The sequence below is a fragment of the Homo sapiens genome, chromosome 21, assembly GCF_000001405.40.
Source record: "Homo sapiens chromosome 21, GRCh38.p14 Primary Assembly".
Lineage (NCBI taxonomy): Eukaryota > Metazoa > Chordata > Mammalia > Primates > Hominidae > Homo > Homo sapiens.
Window position 1 is genome coordinate 26,803,951 of NC_000021.9, and position 22,099 is coordinate 26,826,049.

The window sequence follows — 22,099 nt, forward strand, 5'->3', positions numbered from 1 at the left end:
TTGATAATGACTTGCCCAAGATAATGCAGCAATCAATAGATTAGACATTGTATCAGGAGTCTATGGCTTCTCTTATTGGATTAGTTCCTGATATGGTTTGGCTCTGTGCCTCCACCAAAATCTCATGTTGAATTGTAATTCCCAGTGTTGGGGCAGGGAGCTGGTAGGAGGTGATTGGATTATGGGGACGGATTTCTCCCTTGCTGTTCTCGTGGTAGTGAGTGAGTTCTCATGATATCTGTTTGTTTAAACGTGTGTAGCACCACCCCCTTTGCTCGCTTCCTCCTGCTCCAGCCATGTGGACATGCCTCCTTAGTCTTCGCCTTCTGCCATGATTGTAAATTTCCTGAGGCCTTCCCAGCCATGCTTCCGGTACAGCCTGTGGAACTGTGAGCCAGTTAAACCTCTTTTCTTTATAAACTACCCAGTTCTTTATAGCAATGTGAGAACAGTTCCCTTTAAAGTTTGTGAATTTGAGGCTTTTAGCATTATCTATTACACAATTAATGGCTTGTTTTTTTTTTCCTCCAAAATGACCAAATTAAGAGTAACTCTGTAGACCTTTGATGCTATCCAAAAATCTCTTTAGAGACTCTTGGTTAGGAAATTGTGCTTATAATCCCTTGGCTTCCCTTTTCTTGGTAGGAAGATAAACTCCTGGGAAACACACTTAGGCATGTATTTAATGAAATAAATTACTGCTAAGTGTTATAAAATGTAATGCCTAAAAGAATTAATGTACTCAGTCTTGACCCACCTAAGTTATTCACCTCTAGTCCCTGGTTGAATATTAGACATGTAGGAAAGGCTCAATTAATTCTGAATGAATGAAACGACTCAGATTCACTCAAGGAAGCAACTTTGGTGTAGTTCTATGTGTTAGAAAGCCTAAGTTCATGAATGGGATAAAATGAGGTATGACAGACTGAATACCTAACCACCTACTGTGGAGCTGTGCAGAGAACGAAGGCTCCTGAGCACCTGATGGACAAAACTCATGTCCCATTCCCCCTCCACCTAAGATGCCTTTGCTCTGTTGACTTGGCCTATCATTTTTAGTCGGCCAAGGGAATTGAATCAATGCCAACAACTTCTGCCAAAAGGCAGCAGTGAACTTCAAAATATTTATCAATTAGTACAGGGTGCGCCTCAACCAGTCAGAATCGGCACTGGCTGTAAACCTGCACAGCTGTACTGGGGCTTACCTGCTGAAAATCAGCACTGCTTGTAAGCCCTGCAATCTCAAATCTTCCTAGAGGCCCATGGGTTTCTAAGAAGCTCCTCTCATTGCTATGAAAAGATCTAGCCCCTATACACATTTTTTTAACCATCCATTTTAGAAAAATTCCTGGGAAATTTGTCAGAATCTGTGTAATCATCATTAATTTAGCAATTCTCAAAGGTAACCCAGAGTTCATCCAGCTGCAGCTTATTCCATTGATCACAATAATCCACCCCACCCAGAACTTTCCTCATGAAAGGAATCTTCTTGGAGTGGCCATCTGGATCGTGTTATCCTAATCAGAGTGTAGAGAGCATACAAGGTGCAGACACTCTTTCCACTGAAGAGTCAGGCTCACTCATTCTTGGATGTGCTTCCCCCTTTCCTTTCACTTCCCTCTTTCTTTCTTTTATCTCCACTGGAGAGGTATTGGATGATTTACTGACATTAAAAAATAAGACTATAATAAATTTTATTTTCTCTGAGTAATGCGCACTTCTGAAAACTGCCACCCCCATTTCTACACATTAGGCCTGGAGTGGAGGTGAGGGGTGGCCTAAACTAAAAACAAAAACCTTCCCACTTGCAGATAATTGTTTAATGGGCAAAAGCTTCAGCTCATTCTTGGATTTTCCATATTGCAAACCGGTGGCCCCAAATTTAGTTTATAGCTTTTCTCTATGCTTTATTTCCAGGCATTTGTATGCACAGATCTATATACTTTCCCATGACCATATAAATGAAAAGCTTTCATTATCAATATAGTACAGTGAAAATGAAAGCACAAAGTTACGGGCAAACATGGACTGACCACTGGGGTATTAAAACATTTCTAACAAAATCTCTAAAGCCATTGAATTTTGATTTTTTTAATTTATAACCTAGATAAAGGATGAAAACTAGCATTTATCAAATGGCCAAGTCAGTTAACATATTATTTTTATCCACACTTCTATTGTCCTTCCATAAAAATGAAATAATTAAAAGGCAATAAATGCAGATATAGTGTTCCGTATTTCAAACTAGCATCCAAAGTAATTATTGAGTGTTTGATCTTTGCTCTGTACCAGTATGATGAATCAACTAATGAATCAACAAATTGCAAAACAGGAAATCTATATTTCTGTCAGTTGAGGAACAGGTAGATAGTTTATTTAGAATAATAGAATATTTTCCAAAATATCAATTTAGAATCCAATAGGCTACAAATTAAGAGAAAACCAAAGCAGTGGCTTAAACAAGTAAAAGATTTTCTGATATATCAAAAAATCCAGAAGCTGACAATCAAGGGTTCTTGCAGGTGTCAAGGGAGCCATCATGGAACCAGGCTCCCTCAATTATCTTCTACTGCTTTTGATCTCATGGCCACAAAATAGCTACAGCAACTCCAGCCATCACATTCTCATTCTAGGCAGAAAGAATAGTTTTGGCAAGTGTAAAATGCCAAAGTTTTCTTCTCACTATATTTTACCATTCTTATTTGAGAAGAATTCTGCATGTCTCATTGGCCAAAACCATTTTATATGGTCAACCCCTATCAGCAAGGGAGAATGAAAATTTTATTTTAAATTTTGGTAAAGAGGAGTAAATGAATTTGGAACAGTGGTTGAAAATAAACTAACTCACAATATTTGTCACGTATGCTTCTGACCAACAAATAGACAGCTCTTTATGGATATAATATGTGTTTCCTCAGACCACAAAGGTTTTGAAGCAAGAATATGAGTCACAATAAGTCACCGTGAGTGTTTGTTTCTTTGACTCTTCCCCTTCCTCATGGTCTTCCAGACCTACAGAAACCTTCATCGTCCCTCTTAAATATTTCTGGAAGTCCCCAGAGGATGTCTTTTGCGTACTCATAAACTCAGCTCTGATAGATACTATATGTGCCCATATTTTCTTTCTGCCTGAACTGGCTTCATACAGTAATCAGAGTGGAGGCATCGATATGTCTGAAAGCCACAGTTAACACTACTATATTGTTTCCTGTTGCTGCTGTTGTAGGTGAGATCATCCTGTTAAAAAAAAAAAAAAAAAAAAAAAAAAGCCACTCTCTGCAAAAGCTGTCTTGCTGCACTCAAACCCATAACCTATCTAATGGAAGCTAGAGTTACTGAAGTCCATGTGGTGAAGCCATACTGTAGACGTGGTCAGTATTGCCTCTCAGCTTTGAATTCCATGGGTCATATCTTCCACATTTGGTGCTCTCTGTTCCTGGGAGAATTTGGTTGGAAAAGTCCTTTTCATTTCTATTTTGTTCTACTCCATAGAGCTCAAGCAAAATGGCTTAATGCTGGAAAAAGGACCCCATACGAGACGTGCCATATTCAAATTTACCCTCCCTTCAGTTATTGGGATATTTTCATCAGGCCAATCTCATAGGCTTTGCATTTTATTTGTGGATGACTTTTTAAAAATCTTATGGAGCTCTTACACAAGCTTTGCATAGATACTTGACACCCACTGGTTTATTTAAATCAATGGATAAATTCAGTTTAGGCTGCCAAGCTGGCATTACTAGACCAAAGGTAATATTACTAGACCAAAGGTAATTCATGCTAAGTTCAGTATATCTGCCTTCATCTTAACCCTATCCACAGCCATCCCCTCCTATTCATATTTCAGGTTGTCGGAATTCAAACTGGTCTTACTATCCATATGTTAGGTTGTCAAAATTCAAACTGGTTTTACTATTCAAATTCCAGGTTTTACGCACACTTGCACTTACATACCAGCTCTCCACTTCTTATGTTAAATCAATCTACTTATCCTCTTGAGATTATGAGCCTGACATACAGGATGTTCACTTACAGAGAAAATCATAGTTTACTTTTTTAGACCTGTTTATGCCACTCTACATGGAGAAGAAAATTGATGGGCTACTTAGATAGAAAACCCTCTTCAAGCCAGTCTAGCAAGGTCTCACTAGGGGATATTTCAATGGGAAAATATTTCTTTGTTACTCCTCCTATGCCCAAGCCCGGATTTGAAGTCCCAGAAGGAATCTGGATTGGGATGGGAAAAAATCTGGTAGTGTTGTGGAACCCAGACTAGGAGTTCATATGGAAGAAGAAAGAAAGCGGACGCCAGAGCACCATCGTACCTCACGCCACCCACAGGACACCAATAAAGCAACCTGTGACGATCAATGCTGGAAATGAGTGCCTTGGAGTTAGTGTTAAATGGATGCATGAGAATCTCAATTGAAGTTAAAAATATATACGATGAGCAAACTGAATGGAAGTAGAAAAATGGCAGTTATGAACACAACATTCAAAAGTGCCCCATCTCTATGTGTGAATGGGATTTTCAGCTTTCCTGGAACAAGGGAAGCTACTTGAGAAGAATTTATGTCTAGAATAAGAACAAATGAGATAATACTTTTTCAAACTTACCCTACCAGTAAATACTGCTGAACAATCTGTCTAATTTCTGTATGCAGTTACCTCCAGAAACATCAGAGAACCTATGGGAACTGGTATACGATGCCAATATTGAGTTTTGTGAGCACATGGGTTTTGAGACAACCTCTTAAAGAGCCCTTTCAAAATCAACAGAGCCTTGAAATAGTAAAAGACTCTGCTCTAGCCCTTACAATTTGAGTTTAGTATTGGATTGTTGGGATCCATTTAATACTGAGGTTCCAAGCCTGGGTTAAAAACTTTGCTAGGTCAAGAGCTACACCTTTGCCCCTTTTCCACCTGAGGTAAATTATTTCCTCCAAGAAATTACTTTCCTTTTTGAGCAAGTAACTTTCTGAAATGCTGAGAGAAACTGGTACTTTAAAATAGATAATTTGCCTCAGATGGGTCACACACTTTATTTCCAGAAGCCAGTTTAATTTTTTTTTTCCTTCACTCTGATGATTGGGTCAAATCCTTATTAATAAAATGTGTGCTACTGGAAAGGAAAGACACCTTTGTTACTTAATCCATGTGCGGCCATTTATATTTGGCATGCATAAATGTCATGAAGAACAGGGAAAAAATATAATTCATGAGCAAAATGCATTTTATGCTACTGTTCCCTTGCCAAATTAAGTATTATAGTTGGAAATTTAGGGTGGAGGCTCACTTTGGGAAAAAAGAATCAAATTGTCTGGGGATTTTGCTTTCATCACCAAAGGGATTTTATGTGTTTGGAAGGATCATCAATTCCTGACTTGGTGGTAGACAATACTCTTACTTCACGCAGGTCCTGCAGAATTCTAATATGGCTTGGTTGAAATTTCTTCTTTTGACTAGAAACTTTTTTCACATTTTTTTTCAGTATTCCCTTTGATGCAGTCAAAATAGGTGGACAAATACGTTGTCTACACTGAAACAAAGCTTGCTTGAATTCACCTATATGATGATGTCTTCATGAGCTTGCTTTGCCTTTCCAAATCTATCTTTAAAAGATTCACTAATCTCCAGATTTTAAAACATAGAGGAATGTTCCAACAGTACATTTTTCAAGTGATGTAAAAAGTTCTTGGAATTAATTTGTCATCAGCCTTGCTCTAAGGACGGTGTTGTTTCAGCCATGGCCATTTAGGAACTGATCATTGCTACCTACAACCCTGTTGAAAAGGCCCACTTCGTGCAAAAGTCAAAAGTAAAAAAAAAAAAAAAACTTTGTATACATTTTTTTTTCCACTGGATGTATTACATGGTTAAATTTATTTTTTTAAATTTGGAAAACAAACTTACTTTTAAGCACTTTCATGTCCTAACAAGTTTAAAACACACATAGAAGCGGAAGCATTCCTTCACCTGATGTTTCAGCGTTCAAGGTACTGAAAGTCGCTTGCTCATACAATGATATAAAGTTGATGAGTAATAAAGACACCTGATTTTATTTTTGCTCATGTGTCTCATGATGACAAAATTTGAGACAGGTCAACAAGAAATATTTACTAGATCTAGTAGTTGTTACTACATTTAAATTGATAGTTTCTAATAATGATGTTTTGCATAGGTCATAAGGAATTTTCTGTGAGAAATATTAGGAATAAAAGGATTTTCTTCACTCTTCACATGTGTTCTACAGATGTTCACAGACTAGTCTTCCTTTTATAGGCTCTGAATAAAGATAAAATATGGTGGAAATCAACCAATTCGTCATTGCTGTTTTATGCTGTAGAAATTACCCTTAATTTTCACTTACCTTTGTGTTCAAGGTCAAAGCCACCCCCATGAAAACTCCCAAACTACACACCAAAAAAACAAATCAAACGAAATAAAGCATTGCAAGAATGTGAAATTTGTGTTGAAAACATCTGGCTGACTATTCTCCCAGGCTATGCTCGGCACTCATTATTCATATAAATTGTGAGAAAGGTTTGGTGTCTGAACGTACCTCTAGCCCCTATGATGTGCGTATGTGATTTTTGCCCAAGTAGTCATCACCACAATCCTGTATAAGAAAAATAAATTTGAATTTGCTGTGAGTCAGCTTCATCTTTTAAATTAAATATGATGATAATACCTGCTTTAATTATCTTAGGGCTTCTTATGAGGATAAGATGAAATTTTTTAAAAAGTAAATGTATGAGGAAAACTTAAAAATACCAACACTTTAGCAAATTTTTATGCTTGGCATGCAAAATCATATCTGATTTGCTTGGCAACTGAATGTGATCATGTTTTTGCCATCAGAACTCTCATTGTCATGGGTAATGTAATCCAAATATTTTAGTTCCCAGTGAAAGAGTCAAGAATAAATAAGACAAACACTGCATGCTAATTCTGGCCATGGAGACTGAATATAACAGAGATTTGAATGAGAAAATCTGGTTTGGTGTCAAGCATAATAAAATAAAGAAGAGTTTGTTGATGGGCAAAAGGAAGAGATGGGTTGAGAAAGTGCTGTGCTCCCTGCTGAGAGAGTAGTTTGACTTTGGACAAAATAATAGCTTCAGTTTCTCTTTGGATTCATTATTGCTCCTGGACTCTCTCTAATTTGAACCTTGTAGGGGTCATCTGTGCCTCTGTCATCTCGAATACTCTCCACTTCAATGAATCATACTTCACACTGCCAGGATGACCACCCAGAAAGGCCTGTTTATGTAGGACTTGGCTGCTGCAGAGTTCATCTTAAGTCCCGAACAGCTGAGTTGGGAGCTCCACAATGGTCTCCTGTTTGTTTCTGGGCAGGGTTGGAGATAAGATCATCTATATAGCCTAACAACCATCTGTGAGTTAATCTGTTGGAATTCTCATCTTATCACTGCATATATTGGACTGTGCTGTAGTGGGCATACATTTTCTAAAATGCTGTCTTGGCCTGAAATAAAGAATATGTCAGGAAAGTCAATGTCAGCCTATATACAAACAAGGAAGTTGAGATTAAGAGGATACAGAGATAAGCTATCAGCCGATTTACACCTTGTCGCCTTTCTTCTATTCCTTCAATATGATTTTATAATCTTACCATTTTAACCACTAAAATAGTAGAAAACCAAGATGGGCACTTTTGGCTAAATCAATAGTAACTGTGCTTTGAGACTTGAGCAAGATTGTGGAAGATTTTGCAATGGATAAAGGAGATTATTAAATATCCTTTCAATGAAATGCAAGAGCCTTTGGAGATTATGTGGTGCTATGGGGATGTGTGCCTTCATTTTTGACTAGGCTTTTTTACAACTCTGTAGAGGTAGAAGTGAACTCATAGAAATTTGATAGGAATGGAAATAGTTTTTGTTGCTAAAAATGCAAAGTATGTCCCTTGGATTATAATCGATGATTTACCTCCACTAAATCTCCCAAGCTTCACAACCAAAAAACCAAACCAAAACAAAAGATATCATCATAAGAACCTGAAATTTGTGTTGAAAGCAACTGACTGATATTGCATTAGATAGCCAACATGTCTTGTTATAACTGGTGGCTCTGAAAATTTGCATTTTGAATATATCTAATAAATTAAAACTCTAGCAAGGAAGTTTTAGAAAATGACTACAATATAGTAAATGTATTCATACGCTCTGAGAAAAGTAGACAAATGAGAAACCCATATAGCTCATGCCTTTTCTGGGTTCAGATAGAGATCAGTAAATGTTTTTCAATTATAATCATATGGTCATTTCAAAAGCAAATCTAGAAGGATTGTTTGCAATCACCACTGTTATTCATAAGTAAAAGTTTAGATGGAAAATTTTGTGTATTTTGTGTGGGGGTGTATCCTCTGAAGAGTTTATGCTACTCACTACAATGTATACTTTGGCTCATCTGATTGTTCCTGGCACAGGAATATAGATGCTATCATTGTCTTGAGACCCTTAAGTTTACATTCAGCCAGATTTCTTTATCTCCTTCCAATATCAGCCTCAATCTAATGATCTTTCTCTTTATAAATTTTCCTCGGTGCCCTCTTTTCAGGCTGACTTGCCTGTCCAGAAAAGAGGGATTTTCTTTAATGTGGTAAAATATACATAATATAAAATTTACCATTTTAATTATTTTTAAGTGACATTAACTACATTCACCTTGAAGTGGAACCATCACCATCATTCATCTCCAAGTCTTTGTCATCACACCGAATAGAGACTCTGTATCCATTAAATAATAACTCCATATTCCCTCCTTCTCCCTGACTTTGGTAACCCGAATTCCACTTTTTATCTCTATGAATTTGACTCTTCTTGATACCTCAAATGTAAAATCAGACAATATTTGACCTTTGTCTGTCTGCCTCATTTCACTTAGCCTAATGTCTTGAGGATGTTGTAGCATATGTCAGAATTTTATTTCTTTTTGTGGCTGAATAATATCCTATATACGACTTTTTGTTTATTCATCCATTGATGAATATTTGGGTTGTTTCCACCTTTTGGCTGTTATGAATAATGCTGCTGTGAACATGGGTGTACAAATATCTGTTCGAGTCTTTGCTTTCAATTCTTTCTGGAATATATCCAGAAGTGAATTTCTGGATCATATGATATGTTGATGTTGAAATTTGAAAATAAATTTTTAAGGAATTCTTTAAGGAAACACCTTGATTGAAAACAATTTGGAGGAGGAGCAGCCTACTGGGGAATGTATTATTTAGTGACATTAAAAATTATGTAAATGTACTGTTTTCCTAATGGTTGCACTTCATCCATATTATGTCAGTGCTTAGTATGCGTTGTTTGACTCTAGGCCAATCCACCACTACCTTCATTAAAGCATTAGAGTCAAAAACCTTTGTCTCACTGGTTTTCACCTCTAATTAACTTCATTTCTGAAAGTGCTTTGAAATAAATTTTCCATTCTGAGGGAAAGAAGCCAAAACAAAAAAATCCAACAAAACCCACGAAGTTTCCCACATGTGAGGATTTGTTTGCTGCTTTTATCTATCGCAACATTCTCTCTAACAATCTCGTTCACAATTGTGGACTACTCAGGGTTCTCCACAGAAACAGAATCAATAGGGTGTGTATGTGTGTGTGGAGGCAGAGAGAGAGAGAAAGCCTGAGATAAATTTATCTTAAGGATTAGTTCACATATTTGTGGGGCCTGGCAAGTCCCATATTTGCACGATAGGACATCAGGTTGGAGACTCAAGGGAAAGCCGATGTTGCAGTTGAGTCCAGAGGCAGTCTACAGGCAGAAATCCCTCTTCCTCAGGGAGGTTAAGTCTTTTTCTTAAGACCCTCAACTAATCGGATGAGGCCCACCCATGTAATGGAGGATAATCTGCTTTACTTAAAGTCTGATTTAAATGTTAATCGCATCTAAAATTACCTTCACAGCAACATCCACAAGTGTTTGACCAAGTATATTGGTACTATGGTGTAGCCAAGTTTCGCATAAAATTAACCATCATGATAATGCACTTCTTTAAAAAAAAAAAAAAGTGGAGGAGTGTTATACAAAGCTTAAATTTTGTAACCTCATTTGATTTGGGTTATTATTGGCTAAATTCTCATTTATCTTAGTCATTAAGCAGATTTCAGTTTACTCATAAATTATTTTTGTGTGTTTCCAAATATTTTTTAGCACAAGTTTTGCCTTGACAGTTGGATTACATTTTCCTTAAAGCTTGGGTCAAGATTTATTTGGTAATATCCTACCTATTATCAATGCCATCTATTATAGCACTCGAGGCAAGTCAGTGTTCACCAATCACCAAGTAAATACTTTGGCAGTATCTGAAACTTCAATTTAGAGTTAATTTCCTTCCTGCCATCACCAGCACTGTCCGTTGTAGCCATCGGTTTTTTATGGAATCTTTATTACTTACAGTTATGTCCATTTTGTCTGAAGTCCAAAATGATTTAATGGGCCATTGCTTTACCATTTTTTTTTTCATAATTTCCCTGAACTAAAGCTCTGTCCTAAGCTTCTTTCTACCTCTAAGATTTTGCTCCAATTTCTGCCATACTTGGAGGAATGCCATTCTCAGCCTATCCCAATCCCACCCATTGTTTAGATCATAGTTTAAATTCCTTTTCCTGCACAGATTTCTCAAGCATCCTGGTCTACAGTACTCTATGTTTACTCTATTGCCTGTTTTATCTGCAACTCTTCATGTTGTTAGGAAAGCATATAATACCACCTCTTGTTGTTCAGTAATTTAATATGGGAATTTGACTTCCCAAAGGTAAATGTAAACGTACAGACATACACTCTTTGATTTGTCTCACCCTTCCCTCAAAAGTAAATCAAAAACTCTATCTAGGCCGAGTACAGTGGCTCACAACTGTAATCCCAGCACTTTGGGAGGCTGAAGTTGGGGGATAGCATGAGTCCAGAGTTCAAGACCAACCTGGACAAAATGGTGAAACTCCGTCTCTCCAAAAAAAAAAAAAAAAGTCAGGTGTATGTGCACCTGTAGTCCCAGCTACTTGGGAGGCTGAGGCAGGAGGATAGTTTGAGCCTGAAAGCTTGAGGATGCAGTGAGCCGAGATCATGCCAAAGCATGCCAGTCTTGGCAGCACAGCGAGACCCTGTCAAAACAAACAAACAAACAAAACAAAAAACTATATAGAGAGATAATGAGTAAACATTTTTTAAAAAATGAATTAATACAAACATACTGGGATCTTGTTCAGTGTAAGGTTAGTCCCATGTGTTTCTGAACTTTACCTTGGGTTTGTAGTCAATGTATATGTGTTAGGTAAGTGTTTTTGACTTTATGTTTATGTGTGACTTGGAAACAATATTACCTCATTTGAATTACTGGCATATTAATGATGTCAAAACCTTATCTTTTGAGCATTTTTTCTACTTAAATTCAGAGCTGTTTCATTTGAACACTGTGTTTACCAAGCTGAAAAGTCTCATGTTCTCTTGGATAATCTCCAGTCAGAGTTATCTATAAATGATACTTCAGGGACTTTCTTTACAAACTGAATTTGGTTTTCTTTGTACAGTGCAAATAAGTAAAACCAAAAATTAAAGTACATGAAAAAACATTTGAGCTAGTTATTTCTTCAGCTAGCTCACATGCAGCTGTTAAAATCTGTATAGACCATTTTCTGTTCACAGTCCCATTATTAATATTTTGTAGAGCCTTCCTTTAGCCATTTCTCATTTTCAAGCTGGTCTCCTATTACTGGGAGTACATTGCAGCATTTGCCATTTTATTTGGGATTGGGACAGTAATACAGTACTTCAACATTGCTTTCATTTCCCAGTATGTCAAACAACATACAAATGTCAAGTATTTTTAGTCTCTGCATCATCATCGTTAACAGGATACCAGACTCCCAATGTGCATTCCATCTCCAGCGTACAAAATCACAGCAAGTCATTTCACCAGGGAATAAAAGAGCTTTCTACCCAAACGCTGTTACAATTTTCACACTTCGAACGGTATGAGTCTTAAAGCATTTGTAGTCATAGCAACTGTTTTTTAAATTTTGTATATAATCATTTTAATTATTAAGTATTTGATATAAAATATAAGGAAAAGTTAATACATGTATGAAAGGTAAATAGGCAGGCTTTTAAAATTACCAAAACCCCTACATTTTCTAGGAAGGAATTTATTATTGTTTGATGAAGTTAAAACATGCAAGCAGTTAGTGGGACAGTTCCCACTTAGCTCCACTAGAGGTCTCAATTGATATTTTGTGTGTGTGTGTGTGTGTGTGTGTGTGTGTGTATATATTTGTGTGTGTGTGTGTATGTGTGTGTCTGTGTATATGTTTCTGTGTATATATACATGCATATGTATATATGTACACCCATAAATGTGTACGTACATATATACATATGTATATATGTGTGTATATACATACATACACACACAAGCATATATATATATATATATACACACACACACACACACACACACACACACACAAATGTATTTTTTCAGACAAAGCTAAAATGCTGCACTGCTATTGTGGATGATCTTATAGCAGTATTGCCAAAAGGAACAACCACCATAGGAATAACAATACCTTTTAAAATTCATTATAAATAAAAACAAACTCTAGTACCTTTCTTTTTCCAAGGTTTAAAACTTTATTGTACATTTCCCTTTAAAACAAGGACCATCATTTAAAAACATCTTTTAAAAACTCCCAATACTTTTTATACACACAAGCAAATATAAATAACCATGTTTCTTTATATTAAAAAAAATGGGAAATTTATTTGGGGTCATTTCTTGTGAACTTTTTTTAAACCACCTATAAGCTTGCTCTTTATTATGACCATAATTTTATATATGTGTAATAAAATAACATAATAAAAATTATATGGTCATAATTGTTATTTTTAGAAGCTCTGACTTTCCATCATTAAACTTATTAATCAAAAGTGTATGCTACTTATTTTCTAATTTATTCTGAAATGTGAACCAAGGAAATGGAGAACATGAAATTTTTGCTTCAAGAACTTAGACAGTATAAGTAGTGTTTAGAACCTTGGTCATCTAGGAGAGCCATCACCCCATCAAAAAACTCTCATTAATTATAATAAAAATAAAATTCATCCAAAAACATTTTCATGAAGTTAGGAATTAGTTACATTTAATAGAAATATATATATGAATATATATATTTTTATATAGTTTCTATTTTTAACATAAAATAGAAAATATATAATAAAATTATATTTTAATAATTTTATTATTTAATGTTATAATAAAAATATAATTATATACTAAATAATTATAAAATTTAATACGTTATATAATTAATATAATTATGTTATAATAATATAGTAATACAAAATTATGTAATTTTGTTTTATAATATATAATTATGTAATATATTCTATATTATATAATTATGTTAAAATTAAATTATATAAAAATTTATTCTATTGTGTATTACTATATATACTCGCTATAATATATAAATATTTTTAATATATAGTAATATATATAAATATATTTTTATATAGTATATTATAAATAACATATATGTATATATAAATATATTGTTATATATTATAAATGATATATCATATACTTATATATAAGTGTGTATAAGTATATATAATTATATATAAAATACTGTATATTATTGTATATATTATGTAATACATATTATATGTATTGTATATAAAATAGAGAAAATATATACATTGTAAATAGTTATATATTTATATAAAATAGATATTTATGTCTATTATATATACTATTTTACATGTAAAATATATATTTATCTATTTTTTCCTCTTAATTCAGTACTTTAGGAAAACAGGTTTTTTTACTTTATGATGGAATGCACCACTCACATTACTTGTTGCTTGTTACTTTTGGAATACTGTCCAGGCCATAATTCACCCTAGCTTGCCTAAGCTTTTGTTGGGGCTGATAAACTTGTCAGCTTCTAGAAGCTTCTGAAGGCCAGTTGAACTCAGATCCATTCTTTTTACCAAAATACCTTCTAAGGTAACTGAGTTGTGTGTCCCTAAATCAGGGCAGGGTTGAGAGCATTGAATCAGCTAGAAAATGACTATAGTCAGCCATGTGCTCCAGGTATTAATATCTCAGTAATATGTTTATTTACCCCGTGTGCCGGAAGTTTTATATATAATATCTCACTCAGTTTAGAGTAATCTTTTAAGGTAGCTCCTCATTTTTATAAAAGATGAATCAGAAATGCAAAAAGGTAATTTACCAGTTCCCAGAGAAATTTGTAAGTACAGACATGTCAACCTCAGTAGCAGCAAGGGCATAAATTCCCCTCTACAGCTACTTGAGCCATGGTAACTAGTAAATGTTTAAGCCATGGTTGTTCTTTGCAGAAAGCCCAGATGTTTGTCAATGAGTAAAACTTTTATTGAGTTTCTACTATGTCTAGACTACAATTCTAGGAACTCGACAGGAGGGAGAGCTATAAAAGAAAAAGATGTGGCGTTATTATTAAGAAACATAAAACCCACTTACAGAGACACAGCACAAGAGTATAAAATCCGGGTGAACACTTTTACAGGGAATGTGTGTCTCCTGGAGGCCTTAGCACATGAAAATGATAGAGTTCAAAGTGAAAGCCTTCAAGTGATTCTGTGCTAAATAAAGGCAATTTAAACCAAATATATTTCTTTTTTTAGTAAACAATTAAAATGACAGTATAATGGGTTTAAATTGAAAAAAAAATAATGTTTTAAAGGAAATTGCCTTGGCTATCACGGTGTGATATCTGCCTTCGTGCACATCTCTGTGACTTAAAGTCCAATACCAGGATATAATGAATTACACATGGCTTTTGGCTTTCCAAGGTATTATCCAGTGAGAAGAGATATGAGAAAAGGAAAAGGATCTTCGACCGTAAAATTAAAATAACTCAATTATCTTACCTTGTTGAAGAAATAACAGACCTAGAAATATTAAATGACTTGCTCAAGGTCATATACTTAGTTTATAAAAGATCCCGGACTTCAAACTTAAAAGACTGTAAGCAGAAAGGATTGAAGAAATGTTTGCCCATTCATTTTTAATGTGCTAAAGTGTAGCCATGAAAGCATAGCAAGGGCTTCATGCTGGGAAACTGAAATGGCAGACAAAGCAAACTAAACAAAGACCCATTGTCTCATTATGAACTAAGATTTTGAGGAGATTGTGGGTTTACTATGAAGAGCTTAAGGAGCACTAGTTGGGGAGGGGAGAAGTATGACTTTATGCATAGATTTAAGGGACTCTGGGCTCTTTGTGGTTTTAATCAGACATACGATAGTTATCATAAACTATAATTATTATAAGTTACACCCGTGTCCTCCTAGCACAGATATAGTGATATGCATGTATATTATGCATTTTCTCTGCACTCTCTCTGCCTGTATAGTTATATTCATTTGGTAGAACCAAAAATGCATCTTATGGCAAATTTTGATTTCAAGTTGAAATACACCAGTCCGTATGGAGAGTGTTGTCCAGAAATGCAGATGGTTCTTTGAAGAAAAGTACAATCAAACATGGCAGAGACAGTCTTACATAACAAATAACAGGGCTGATGTCAAAGTTATTTGCCAACAGAATACAGTATGTACACCATTAAGTACTTTGCTGTCTTCATATGAATTTGTCCTTAGAAAAACTGCCCCAATCTAAACTGTTACATTAATATCTACTACCATATTAGGATTAGGAGTGCTTACTATGTGTCAGGTACTAGTTTAAACACTTTGCAGGTATTATGAGTGGGATAATTATACCAACTGAATGAAGTACATTACTATTTTCATCATTCCCATTTTATAGATGGAAAATCAAGGTAAGGCAAATTAAGAGTAAGGCAAGTAAATGGAGGAGCTAGGATTCGAATCCAAGCAGCCTGATTCAAATTTTGCATGTTCAGTTGCTATGTCAACAACATCTCAATATGACTGAATCTTTTTCAAGAGAGAAACCAAAACCCAAATGCAAAAGCACTCTGTCCCTTTTAAGGTTGTCATTTGGGAAGTACATACAACTTTCCTAAGAATGCTGTCATACCTTAAATATTTCTGAAATGGATACCTTGGAATTAACGTCAGAGCCTGCAGCTCATTCTTTGACTATCTCCTGTGGTGGCAAATCTCTTTTTGAAGGAGGATTTTGTTTTGGATGCAACCAAAGTCCCTTGCAGCCAAATACCATGACTAAGGTGGGTCTCTAATCTGGGTGATGCCATTTTTGGTCAAAAAAGTGAAACATGCCTGGGCGGCAATGGGGCAGATTGTTTCTCTAAATTGGCTCTGAGGACAGTTCCAAGGAGGAGCTTCAGAGCCTCTGGAGCAATTGCCTGCTCTGGGTTCATGACTTGTAGTCCAAAGTGATTTGACTTGGGGTGAGGGTGTGGTCAATTTAGATATTCAAATCTGGACAAGTTTATCATCACTTGCCTCTGTAACTTGGATTTAATTTTTAAAAATTCATAAATCCAAATAGTCAATAATTTCTGTAGACAATCTTTTGGAAAATTAAGTTGACCTATCTCATTGAGTGAACAGGGATGAAGCTAGCAAAACAGAAGGCATCCATCTGTGTCTTTATTTTTTGCTCCATGCCGGAAGGGTTTCCTGTCCACCCAGCATACCTGGTGGTATTACCTACACACGCCACTCATCTGTATGAGTGGCTGAGCAAGAACGGATCACATGGATCAGACATTTTTGTCTCTGTTATTTCTTCTCCAATATCTGGAACACATCTCCCGCCTGTTTTCATTCCTTTCAACTCAAAGTATCATGTTATGTCTCTACTCCTTCCTTGACCCCTTGACCTGAAGTGATCCCTTGCTTCTGTATTCCTGAGCTCATGTTATTGATGCAATTCACTGGACTCACTTTCTTGTATTGTTATTTTTTCTTTTGTATACATTTTATTTCTCCAGCTATACTATAAGACTAAAGGCAAGAATGATTTTTTTTTCTACCCATTTTATCTTCCTTTCTTTCCATCCTCTTTCCTTTCTCTCTTCCTTCCTTTCTGCATCCTTCCTTTCTCTCCTTTATTTTCTCTCCTTTTTTTTTCTTGTGGGCTCTTATTCAGGCCCTAGGACAGTTCCCTATACAAACTAGTAGCCCAGCGATATTTACTGATTCTTACTCATTCTTGTTATATCAATGGAATGAATAATCTAATTGCCCACTCTGCATATTTATCTTTCTTATTATAATTTTCTTGAGAAAATGTTAAGTTGTTTTCCTTCCTTTGTTTCTTCCTTTCTTTTTTTCTTGACATATACTACTTGAAGGGTTATATTTCAAAAAAAGGCAGCCTTAGTTAAACATCTTTTTTTATTTGTTCAAAGTGATAAAGGGCAAGTATACTACTAAAACTGATTCTATCTTCTTTGCAAGGGATGTTTTTCTTAAAGATATGCTATTAAAGTATAATTGACTCCTCTTGCTACATAAAACCTTTGGGGTCTACAATTTGATTCTTCAGAAGTCTTTGTCAAAATATTGCTTAAAAGTAAGCATTTGTTTTACCAGTATTCATTCTTATATTTTGGGGGTTCAAAATATAAATAAGTATAATATCCAGCAATCTAAAGCAACTTTACTTTTATTGATGCTCTATAATCAACAAACATTCACATTTATTCACATTTTAAATTGTACCTTTTTGTGTGTGGCTATTGATAAAGTCAAGTCTGATAAAATAACTAATTATATGGTCCCACAGTTTGTGGATAGGAAAATTGCTCAGAAAAGTGTTCAGTTCTCTAATTTTGGACTGTTAATAATGCCTTCTTTTTCACTTGTAAAATGATGCTCTTTCCTTTCTCCCAGTCATGCTAAGAACTGAATTTTACTGCTTCAACCATGCCTGCAATATCTAGGAGAGTCCCAAGTGAGGTTTCTTAGAAATGTTTACAAATGCAGAGGATCAAAAGCTTTTCTAAGTATTTAGTTTTGTTTACATTTTAATCTTTTAAATGGCTCACATGCATATGGATGTTAAAGAAAAAAAAATACAGTGCTATGATGACCTTAGGTAGATAACCCAAGTCCTTTGTTTTAAGAAAAGAAAAAGGAGACTAGAGAGCAAAGATAAACAGGATATTCTGCATTTTTTTTAGCAATCTTGTACTGTTGTATATTACATTTGAAGGCCAAATTTAAAAGTTATGCTGAAGGTCTATATGAGAATATTCTGTTATCACTACTGTCAAAGGAAGTCATCAGGACATTTTAATTAGAAAACCACAAGGTTTAACTAATATCTAACTTCTAAAAGAAATTGACCTTGTATTATAGAGCATATTCCAGAGTATGCTGCAGTTTGATAACTAGATATCATCATCTCTGTGGGTCTTTAATAGCAAAGGATCCTGTCCATAGGCTTGGGCTAGCCTTTGAGAATATGTATCCTTATTGTTTCAAATGAAGGTCTCCAGCCAACTTCCATTTATTTGGAATTAGTTTATCAAACCAAAAGATGATGTACACCCCTGCTTTTCTTTTCTTTCCCCTGAAGTATCCTTTGAAATGAAGTTAGTTTTTATTATTACCTCTGGCATACTCTGGGAAGAGAAGAGATATAGCCAAACCTGTTGATTCTACTCCTGTTAATAAGTTTGGTGAAAACACTGAAGGTGAAAGGCTCTGGAACATGCAGAACTGAATAAACCAACTTGAAATTAATGAAAAGCCAGAGCAATATTGTAATGCCAGCACCGCCAGAAGTCGGTCAGTATTTGTGTTCTTTATTTGGTGCATTTCTCTGCTTTTATGAAAGATACAGCAGGGGTCTGATAAATTCTTAGCCCACTTTAAAGAAAAAAATGAAACTGTGCACATAACTGATCTGATACATATGGTGAAGAGCTTCAGATGGAAACCAAATATCTTGGAGATTTAACTATTTACTTAATCTTTCAGCTGAGCTCCCTCATCTACAAATTCAAGGTTGCCAAATGATATGGTCTGCCTGTGTCCCCACCCAAATCTCATCTTGAATTACTACAATTCAAGATAATCGCCATGTGTTGTGGGAGGGCCCTAGTGGGAAGTGATTGGATCATAGAGGAGGTTTCCTCCATGCTGTTCTCATGATAGTGAGTGAGTTCTCATGAGATCTGATGGTTTTATAAGTGTCTGGCATTTCCCTGCTGGCACTCATTCTTTCTCCTGCCGCTCTGTGAAGAGGTGCCTTCCACCATGATTATAAGTTTCTTGAGGCCTCCCCAGCCATGCAGAACTGTGAGTCAATTAAACCTCTCTTCTTTATAAATTACCCAGTCTTGGGTATTTTTTTCATAGCAGCATGAGAATGAACTAATATACCAAATATGACCTCTTCCTGCTTTATCAATGGACTCTACTTCCTTCAAGTTTGAGAGCCAAGAATCTCTCTGATGGTCTTCATATTAATTCCCTTCTCTTCACTCAGCATTTCTTTCCTCAAAAAAAATTCCCTTGATATGTGCTTCAGGTAGTCATAATACATTTATCTTTTGTCCTTAAGATTAAATCCTGAGTACCTGCAAGCAAAAAGTGGTTTTTCGTTTTCATTCTCTACGTAATTTTCTTCCTGTTGGTAGAAAATTGGAGTTCTAGGAGACTTTAATATAAAATATTGAATTTTTTTGTATCCTATGATAATGTTTAAATCTTGCCTCTGTAGGAAAAGTGATAAATTCACAACCTATTACAATAGAGAATCCACTTAATTGCCCTATATTTTACATTGCTGCGGAGCATAAATATTTCTTCCTTCCTTCCTTCTTTCCTTCCTGATTCTTACTTTAATTACCACATAATGATTTCCTCCTGCACTCTGTACTGAACCCTGTTTAGAGAGTGTTTCTGTATTTTTAAGTGTGAGTACTTTAAATACATTTATACTCCTCAAAAAAGCAAGAGTAGAAAAGAACACTAATATATGTCATATTTTAAATTGCTTCAAATACCGATATTGATTTGTAAATTAGACAAAAGAAACATAACTTCTCAGTTTATTTTTAACCTTTTATTGTAGAAAAAAGTCTAATTATACAAAAGTAGAGAACGAAGTATGCATCTCTATCACTCAGCTTTAACAATTATTATCATTTTGTTCATCTAGTTTCATCTATCTTCACATTTTCTATTTTTGCTTGAAATTTTTAAAGAAAATTCTAGACTTTGTATTATGTTACTTCAGTATCTAGCTTTAGTTTTTGAAACAAGATACAATTTAGAAATATCTACCCTAGTTATGAGAGGATAGGATCTTTCCATGGATGTGTTTTTGTTCAAGGTAATAAACACCACTGCATCAATAGGCCAGTGTACCATTTTAATATGTTATATGATGTCAGTACTTATTGGATATTCTTTTCTTCTACTGCTAAGGGAAAAACTTTCTCTGCCCCACTGACAGTTTCTGTATTAGTCCATCTTCACATTGCTATCAAGAACTACCTGAGACTGGGTAATTTATGAAGAAAAGCGGTTTAATCGACTCACAATTCCACAGGCTGTATAGGAAGCACCGTTAGGGAAGTCTCAAGAATCCTGGTGGAACGTGGAGGGAAAGTTGGCCTGTCCTATATGGCTGGAGCAGGCGGAAGAGAGAGCGAAAGGAGAGGTGCTACACACTTTTAAACAACCTGATATCGCAGAACTCTTATCATGAGACAGCACTAGAGCAGTGGTGTTAAACCATTAGAAACCACCCCCATCGGCCGGGCGTGGTGGCTCACGCCTGTAATCCCAGCACTTTGGGAGGCCGAGGCGGGCGGATCACGAGGTCAGGAGACCAAGACCATCCTGGCTAACACAGTGAAACCCCGTCTCTACTAAGAATACAAAAAAATTAGCCCGATATGGTGACGAGCACCTATAGTCCCAGCTACCCAGCTACTCGGGAGGCTGAGGCAGGAGAATGGCGTGAACCCGGGAGGCGGAGCTTGCAGTGAGCTGAGATCGCGCCACTGCACTCCAGCCTGGGAGACAGAGTGAGACTCCGTCTGAAAAAAAAAAAAAAAAAAAAAGAAAAGAAAAAGAAACGACCCCCATTATCCAATCACCTCCCACCAGGCCCCACCTCCAACACTGGAGGATTACAATTCAACAAGATAGTTGGGTGGGAACACAGAGCCAAACCATACCAGTTTCCATAAGAAAAATGAAGAGAGTTGAAAAGGATAATTGAAGAGATTTTGAAAGTTATTTCTACAGAACTTCTGTCATAAAGAGGACTATCATCATCTCATCTTGGCTCTACTCTTTATATGTATGCCTACAATTAAAATCGTAGTTTATTCTTTCACCCTTAGCTTTTGGTGGATTCTTTTGTTCCACAGATAATCTTGAATACATAGGACTATTGTTGTGGGGCTTGAGCCCAGCCTTTTCCTCAATTCTCACGTTTGGCTACTGTTGCACCCTACATTGCTTCAGAACGAAAGGAGTTAATGTGAAAGGACTTAATATCATAATGTGACACACAAAGGGATACTCAGTTTATGTGGATTTGATGCCTACTAGGGATCTATGAGTTTGATTCTCCCAGATCTCCCCTAGTTGTAGGGTATACTTTAAAAAAAATTAAACTGTTACTAACACTAAATTCTTAGAGTTTTCCCATTCATTCATCTTCTTCACTAGTGAACAGGGGCAGAGAGATGGAAAAATGTAAAATTGTGGGAAACCCAAACAGGTTTGAATTTGAAATTAAATTTTTGTACTTTTAGTTATATATAGTATGCATCTCTTTGTAAAATAATTTATATACTGAAGTCAAGATATGAAATCTCTTAGTAATCAACTGACCAATTCATCTGTCTTGAAATCTACCTTCAAGCTTGGAAAAGCCATCGTCATCTAAATACCAATATAACTAACTTTCTTTTATTATATCGTACTACAAAAATGCTTCAGTTTTTGAAAGCTACCTGTTTTGGGAACAATTTAAATAACAACAGAAACTATTTACAGTGTCTTTAAACCACTGGTGAGAAAGTCTTCACACTTAAGGAAAACCACACTAATTAGGGTTTTCCCACCTTTTAAAAAACCACATTTTTTGATGATT

At 35.5% G+C, this 22,099-nt stretch overlaps 1 annotated feature.

The window, feature by feature from the left end:
• Window positions 14,816-15,437: an enhancer, noted in NCBI's record as "NANOG hESC enhancer chr21:28191085-28191706 (GRCh37/hg19 assembly coordinates)". NCBI's record gives its function as "activates a minimal SCP1, AML or CMV promoter by ChIP-STARR-seq in primed H9 embryonic stem cells {active_cell/tissue: H9 hESC(primed)}" and the evidence as "EXISTENCE:reporter gene assay evidence [ECO:0000049][PMID:30033119]".